The sequence below is a fragment of the Homo sapiens genome, chromosome 2 (genome assembly GCF_000001405.40).
Source record: "Homo sapiens chromosome 2, GRCh38.p14 Primary Assembly".
NCBI lineage: Eukaryota > Metazoa > Chordata > Mammalia > Primates > Hominidae > Homo > Homo sapiens.
The window spans coordinates 35,815,524-35,824,076 of record NC_000002.12 but is presented as its reverse complement, the minus strand read 5'-3'; the positions used below and the strand labels follow the sequence as shown (position 1 = coordinate 35,824,076).

Here is an 8,553-nt window from a genome sequence, read left to right as displayed (position 1 = left end):
CTGAGGCCGTGTCATGGGTACGAGTCCTCAGTCTTGGCAAAATAAACTTTCTAAATTAACTGAGACCTGTCTTAGATTTTTGGGATTCACAGAAGAAGAAAGAAAATAAAGTGAAAACCAGATGTTCAGTTTTCTCCAGGACACTAATTTTTAAAGTCACACACATTTTTGAAAATCTAATTGCAGGTGGGTCTATTTATGATAATGTAGAGGCCAAGGGCCCTCTGAAGGTTTGCTGAAAAAAAAATCAACTCACAAAAGGCAAATACATAGGAGAAAAGGCATACACATTTATTTCATTCTGGGATCCTTCAGAATGAAGACTCAAGCCTCCAATTGGGTACAGAAAGAATGTGGGCTCAGAGCATGGCCAAGAACAGGTCTTAGTGACATGACAGGTTATGGGAGAGGCTTGGCTAGCACAAGTGGCCTTGTTATGTAGACAAAGCCTCACTGGTAGTAGCCCCCAGAGAGAATAGATGGTAAATGTGTCTTTTCAGACTTTGAAAGGTGTCACTTTCAGTTACTTTCTCCTAGATGTGAGAAAGACCTAGAAAGGGAATGCCTGACTACATTAATGAAGATTCTCTACATATACAAATTTCCCCCACAAAAGACAGTTTTGCAGGACCATTTTGGTCTGCTGGCCCTGCGGCAGCCATCTTAAAATATGTCAAAAAATATACTTTGGAGTTAAATATATTGATGTCCTTCAATAGAAATGTTAAACTTTATCTGAGTCCTGTGCTCCTAGAAAGCAAGGATGGTCGAGAAATTCACGCCCTGCTTTTCCGTTCTGAGAAACGGCTAGGTTGATAACTAAGACCCCTGCGATGATCTAGTATATTCCCAGGTGTGACCTATTTCTACCCTTCTTCAACCGCTCTCTTGTTTTATAAAACTCTAGGTTCTCTCTCTCCCATCTTTGACACGTTCCTCATTAATGAACATTCTCCCCCTAATGCAAGAGCTGAACAAAATAATCTCTTTAATTGTGTGTGTATTTTGTCTTTCACAGTGAAAATATTGAAATTCACTCTCACTCTCCCATTTCTGTTATAATTCAAGTATTCTTTTTGAACCAAGAAAAGTCAAGGAGTAGCTGCTTTGTCTCTTTTCTTCCTGCTGAGAGAGAACAAAAGTTGGCAAGGCGACTGGCTACTGCTGGCTCCAGGTGGCCCTGTAGACAACGGACATTCAGCCAGGGCTAACTGGTTATTTACTCAGTATGGAACAGGCAGGTATTTTGCTGATGAGAATGCCATACATTCGTGTTTTTTTCTTATTTTTCACCCATGGGTTGGGGGAGAGGCTTCTGTAAGCAGAAAAAAAAAATTGCTCCTTGAGACTTTACATTAGAATTCAGTTTATTAATGTAATAGTTTAAATCTTCATTTCTTTTAAGCCTTTAAATTTGGCATATCAATTTTATTATACCATTTATAAATCTAGTAAACTTTAAGGATCACTATGGGGGGGTTAATAACATTCAATAAACTCAAATTGAAATGAATAAACGTATTTAAATAATCAGTTTCATTTATAACTCTCTATTAAAATTTTTTAAACCTTTTAAAGTATGTGTAAATTCTGTCATCCCCTGACTTTACAAAGCCTTCCAAAGTACAAAGTAAATTTAATCACCTATATTTCTAATTCTAAGTATTGCCAGCATTGAAAAACACTATTCCACTGTGAATATAGCTTTACTATTCCAGGTAAGTTGTGGTTATCATCCCACAAGAACTGGGATAGCTTATTGACCTAAGGTTTTTCACCTTCTACCACTGAGAAAACATATATTCTGGCTTCTAGCTGCTTTTATAACAGCAATTCTTAGTCTAATTGTAACTGAAACACAGATTCAAGTGCTGGCCACTTGCAGAGTCCAATTAACAAGAGTGAAGTCTGGTGTAGAGAAAGTGACTTTTTATTCCAAAGCTAGCTCAGGGGAAGAAGTACAGGCTTTCTGCCTAAATGGTACCACCTTCCCTTTGGAGCAGAAAGCAGGTGCTTTTGAAGGGGGCATGTCATGAATGGCACACAGGGAAGGAAGTGAGCAGGTGGAGGGTCCCTGTGCTAGCTTTGCTGCCTTATCTACCAGACAGTCAAGCTGGTGACTGCTGGTGCCTTCATGGGCAGGACTAGGTCGTAAAAACAGCTGAAAACTCTCCAGGTGGGAGAGAGTTTCAGACAGGGCATACTTCGGGTTGTAGATTGGCTATTGTTTCTTGGGGCAACCTCCTGATGGGTGAGAGTTTCATAGCAGGCATGCTTTGGGTTGCAAACAAACTGTTATCTCTTGAGGCAGTCCCTTGGTGGGAGAGAGTTCTGCTCTGGAGCTTCAAAGCACATTAGTTACATGGACTTACCCTATAGGAGGTGTCTGGTGAAGGGGAGGTAAAAGGTTATAATTTCTAAACGGCTAAGTAGGAAGTGGGGAACAGGAGGAAACAGAGAAAAGGGAAAAGTAGAGAAAATAAAAAATGGTAACTCATTCTTTTTTAGAAAAATGGGGGTACTCAGTTACATAAACTCTTCAAATTCAGTTTTTTTTCTGTTTTAAGTTATAGATTACCAAAATTTTTTTTTTCTGATTTGAGTCTGCAAAATGTCAAAGAGCTTGTAGATAACTTCCTTTAACAATCTTTCACTGATTAATTGAATAAGGGATTATTTTTATGTTCTTCCTCTCTGACTAGCCATCACTGTTTTATGGATATTAAAAAGACCTACAATTACCATTATTCACAGTAGCCAAGGTCTGGAATCAACCTGAGTGTCCATCAATGGCTGAATCAATGAAGGAAATGTGGTGTGTGTGTATGTGTGTGTGTATAGTATTTCATACTGTATTTATACATATATAAATATATACTATATACAATATGTAAATACAATAAAAATACTATATATGTATAGTTAGTTATACATATATATTTATATGTATAGTTATACATGTATGTATAAATATATACATATATAAATATGTTTATATGTGAATACAAATAAATATATATATGTACATTTACACACATATTTATATGTATAAATATATTGTATATTTATACTATATATGTATATATTATATTTATGCTATATATACATATATACTATATATGTATAAATATATATGTATAAATGTATATACATATAAATATGTATCAATACGTATATATAGTATTTTGTATTTATATAGTATATAGTATTTTATACAACAAAATACTGTATATATACAAACACACACATACAATGAAATACTGTTTAGCCTTAAAAAAGAAGATTCTGTTATTTGCAACAACATGGATGAACCTAGAAGACATTATCTTAAGTGACATAAGCCAAGCACAGAAAGATAAACACTGCGTCATCTCACTCAAGTGTGAAATCTATAATAAAAATGTTGAACTTGTAGTAGAAAGTAGAATGGATCACCTCTAAGGGCTGAGGTGGTTGGCAGGGAGAAGTTGGGAGCTGTTGCACAAAGGATATAAGGTTTCAGTTAGATAGACAGGAAGAATGAGTTCAAGAGATTTATTGTATAACATGATGACTATAGTTAAAACAATGTATTTTGTTCTTGACAGTTGCTGAGAGTAGATTTTAATGTTCTCACCACAGAAGAAAGTATCGATCTGTGAAATAATGCATATATTAATTAGCTTGATTTAGTGTTTTCATAATGTTGCATATTTCAAAATAACTCGTACGAGATAAATACATAGAATTTTTATATGCAATTAAAAATAAATTTAAGAAAAGAAAGAGATTGGATTCTGCGTATTTCCCATGACTTGGTCTGTCTCTAAGATCACAACTTCTAAGATTCCACTAATTACATCAATCCTCACATACTTCTTCACGGACCGGTGTTTGTAACCCACTGGAAAAGACTCTCACAGCCTAGCCCATTGTAGAAACCCAAGAATCGAAGATTCTAAAAGGTAGGGAGAAGATAGAGAAATATATGTTGTAGCCTAAATGCCAATGTAATTTTTGGTGTTATACAATCTACAGCCTCATTTCTTGACCTGTGCAATACCTGTTAAAAGGTGCATAACAAAAACTCAGTGAAATCACATGCTTGGAAAACTAGTAACTTTTTAAACAAATAATGTGGCAAATTGTATTATTACATTTATATTTATCTTTATTTGGATATAAAATAATAATTCTTTAAAAAATAAACATCTAAATTGTATTTGATTTTTAAGAAATTTATTATGAATGACAGATGGAATAGAGAACACTATACAATAAGAGGAGTCCTTCAAATTTTGTGCACGAGTATATATCACAGAATAAATAGTTTCGGTAATAAAAAACCCAACTCTGCTAAATAGACTATGTGACACAAAATATGCATTGCTTCTGAAGTAAATTAAGTATGACTTAGGAGAATGAGCTAAAGAGACAATTTCTGGGACCGAGGGGCTAGAACCTCTTACAATAAATAAAATATATCCTAACAAGCACTCCTTTTTTCCCCTTCAGGCCTTTCCTATTAAAGTGATAAATGATTACAAAACAAATATTCAGCTACATAACTAAAGAGAGTGAATGGAACCGAGGAACATTTAAAAAGAGTAATTTTCATTCAAATTTGCTTCAAACTTCTGGAAACAAAATTACTTTTGGATAAAGTATGAAATTTTAAATCAGAATAGCAAGTGATGAAAAAACCTTTAAATCTGTCTCTTTTTTTTCTTGAGATTGCATCTTTTTGGATCCTCACACTTAATCTCAGGACCGAGCTAGACTTACAGCCACAAATCAAATGTTGAGAAGTCCTTGGCTGTCTGAGTCTGCCTGCCCTCACCCAGCCAGCTGGGCTATAAAACACTTGGGTTGATTCTGTCCTAGAGCGGAGAAGCAAAGTTGTGCAAAACACTATGAGAAATGACTTCACTAGGGAAACTGTTGTGTATCCAAAATTTCTTTGTCTTCCCATTGTCTCTGTGGCATCTGTTCTTTCTCAGCCTCTCACATATTCTCAGTGTCTTCATGTTCAGAGTGCAGAATCATGCTTCTTGATCATAGCAGCAGTTTATCAATCCAATGGTTTATTATAGGATTATCAACTCCACCATTTACGCAATCTTCTTAGTTATCTGTTATCACTCCCTCTCTACTCTGCTTTTTAGATAAAAATAGTTTTTCGTAAATGTATTTTCTATAAAATTATCAGTGATACCTCAGGTTGCTAAAACAAAATACCATAGACTGGGGGGCCTAAATAACACACATTTATTTCTCACAGTCTGGAGACTAGAAAGTTCAAAATAAGGTGCCAGCAGTTTCATGCACGTCCATGTGAAGAGACCACCAAACAGGCTTTGTGTGAGCAACAAGGCTGTTTATTTCACCTGGGTGCAGGTGGGCTGAGTCCGAAAAGAGAGTCAGGGAAGGGAGATAGGGATGGGGCCAATTTATAGGATTTGGGTAAAGGAAAATTACAGTCAAAGGGGATTTGTTCTCTGGCGGGCAGGAGTGGGGGTCACAAGGTGCTCAGTAGGGGAGCTTTTGAGCCAGGATGGGCCAGAAGGAATTTCACAAGATAATGTCATCAGTTAAGGCAGGAACAGGCCATTTTCACTTCTTATGTGGTGGAATGTCATCAGTTAAGGCAGGAACTGGCCATCTGGATGTGTACCTGCAGGTCACAGGGGATATGATGGCTTAGCTTGGGCTCAGAGGCCTGACATTCCTGTCTTCTTATATTAATAAGAAAAATAAAACGAAATAGTGGTAAAGTGTTGGGACGGCGAAAATTTTGGGGGGTGGTATGGAGAGATAATGGGCGATGTTTCTCAGGGCTGCTTCGAGCAGGATTGGGGGGCCGTGGGAACCTAGAGTGGGAGAGATTAAGCTGAAGGAAGATTTTGTGGTAAGGGGTGATATTGTGGGGTTGTTAGAAGAAACATTTATCATTTAGAATTATTGGTGGATGGCCTGGATACAGTTTTGTATGAATTGAAAAACGGAATAAGAGAAGGAGAAAAACAGGTATTAAAGGTCTAAGAATTGGGAGGACCTAGGACATCTAATTAGAGAGTGCCTAAGGAGATTCAGCATAGTCCTGTCAGCAAAGATTATTTATTTACTTCAAGAGTTAAGAGTGGCAGTTTGGGGATAGCACAGGGAGATATCAGCTGTGATGGCTTGGTGAAACAGTGTAAACCGGCAGTGTAAACAAGAGCAGGGCATGTATGAGTAGTTGAAAACAGTGAATAGGAGTATGACTAGACAGAAGATAGTAGGGATGACAAGTTTTTTGGGGCACAGTCCAAGTTGGTCTTGAATGAGACTGGGGCTTAATAAAAAGGAGCATCCATACAGGAGCTCAAATGGGCTGTACCCTGTAGCATTCCGAGGACAAGCCTGAATTCTGAGAAGGGAAAGTGGTGAAAGTATTGTCCAGTCCTTTTTAAGTTGGTGGCTGAGCTTGGTGAGGTGTGTTTTTAAAAGACCATTAGTCTGTTCTACCTTTCCTGAAGACTGAGGACTGTAAGCGATATAAAGGTTTCACTGAATACCAAGAGCCTGAAAAAATGCTTGGCTGATTTGACTAAGAAAGGCTGGTCTGCTATCGGACCGTATAGAGGTGGGAAGGCCAAACCGAGGAATTATGTCTGATGGAAGGGAAGAAATGACTGCGGTGGCCTTCTCAGACCCTGTAGGAAAGGCCTCTACTTATCCAGTGAAAGTGTCTACCTAGACTTAAGAGGTATTTTAGTTACCTGACTCCAGGCATGTGAGTAAAGTCAATTTACCAGTCCTGGGCGGGGGCAAATCCCCGAGCTTGATGTGTAGGGAAGGGAGGGGGCCTGAATAATCCCTGAGGAGTAGTAGAATAGCAGATGGAACACTGAGAAGTTATTTCCTTGAGGATAGATTTCCACGATGGAAAGGAAATGAAAGGTTCTAAGAGGCGGGCTAGGGGCTTGTACTACAGCATAGCCTGCCTTTGCTGGTGTGTGGCGACTAGGCCTGGTGGAGCTGCCATCAATAAACCAAGTGTGATCAGGGTGAGGAACAGGAAAGAAGGAAATATGGGGAAATGGGGTGAACGTCAGGTGGATCAGAGAGATACAGTCATGGGGGTCAGGTGTGGTATCAGGAATAATGTGGGAGGCCGCATTGAAGTCCGGGCCAGGAACAATGGTAATTGTGGGACTTAACAAAGAGTGAGTACAGCTGAAGGAGCCGGGGAGCAGAAAGTATATGCGTCAGGTGTGAGGAAGAAAATAGATTTTGGAAGTTATGAGAACTGTAGAGAGTGAGTTGAGCATAGTTTGTGATTTTAAGGGCCTCTAAAAGTATTAGGGCAGCGGCAGCTGCCACATGCATGCAGATTTGAGGGCTAGGCAAAACAGTAAGGTCAAGTTTTTTGGATAAAAAGGCTACAAGGTGCGGTCCCGGCTGTTGTGTAAGAATTCTGACTGCACTAACCATGCCTAGGAAAGAAAGGAGTTCTTGTTTTGTAGAAGGTGCTGGGGTTTGAGAGATCAGTCTGACACGATCAGCAGGGAGAGCACGTGTGTTTTTATGAGAATTACGCCGAGATAGGTAACAGATGAGGAAGACATTTGGACTTGACTGAAGTAATGGGGGCTGTCTGTGAAGCCTTGCGGCAGTACAGCCCAGGTAATTTGCTGAGCCTGGTGGGTGTCTGGGTCAGTCCAAGTGAAAGTGAAGAAAGGCTGGGATGAAGGGTGCAAAGGAATAGTAAAGAAAAAAGCATGTTTGAGATCCAGAACAGAATAATGGGTTGTAGAGGGAGATAGTGAGGATAGGAGAGTATATGGGTTTGGCACCATGGGGTGGATAGGCAAAACAATTTGGCTGATAAGGTGCAGATCCTGAACTAACCTGTAAGCCTTGTCTGGTTTTAGGACAGGTAAAATGGGGGAATTGTAAGGAGAGTTTATAGGCTTTAAAAGGCCATGCTGTAACAGGCCAGTGATAACAGGTTTTAATCCTTTTAAAGCGTGCTGTGAGATGGGATATTGGCATTGAGCAGGGTAAGAGTGATTAGGTTTTAATGGGATGGTAAGGGGTGCATGATCAGTCGCTAAGGAGGGAGTAGAGGTGTCTTATACTTGTGGCTTAAAGTGGGGAGATACAAGGGGAGGATGTGAAGGAGGCTTTGAACTGGGGGAAAAGGTGGCAATGAGGTGTGGCTGTAGCCGAGGAATAGTCAGGGATAATTTAGTTAAAGTGTCTCGGCCTAATAAGGGAACTGGGCAGGTGAGGATAACTAAAAAGGAGTGCTTAAAAGAGTATTGGCTAAGTTGGCACCAGAGTTGGGGAGTTTTAAGAGGTTTAGAAGCCTGGCCATTGATACCCACAACAGTTATGGCGGCAAGGGAAACAGGCCCTTGAAAAGAAGTTAATGTGGAGTGGTTAGCCTCCATATTGATTAAGAAGGGGATGGACTTACCCTCCACTGTGAGAGTTACCTAAAGCTCGGCGTCTGTGATGGTCTACGGGGCTTCCGAGGAGATTGGGCAGCGTCAGTCTTCAGTCTCTAAGCCGAGAAGATCTGGGAAG

The 8,553-nt window shown here is 39.3% G+C and overlaps 2 annotated features.

Annotated features, from left to right (window-relative positions):
• Window positions 2,053-2,554: an enhancer, noted in NCBI's record as "OCT4-NANOG-H3K27ac hESC enhancer chr2:36046589-36047090 (GRCh37/hg19 assembly coordinates)". NCBI's record gives its function as "activates a minimal SCP1, AML or CMV promoter by ChIP-STARR-seq in naive H9 embryonic stem cells {active_cell/tissue: H9 hESC(naive)}" and the evidence as "EXISTENCE:reporter gene assay evidence [ECO:0000049][PMID:30033119]".
• Window positions 2,100-2,394: a silencer, noted in NCBI's record as "tiled region #1155; HepG2 Repressive non-DNase unmatched - State 23:Low". NCBI's record gives its function as "represses a minimal TATA promoter and a strong SV40 promoter by Sharpr-MPRA in HepG2 cells {active_cell/tissue: HepG2}" and the evidence as "EXISTENCE:reporter gene assay evidence [ECO:0000049][PMID:27701403]".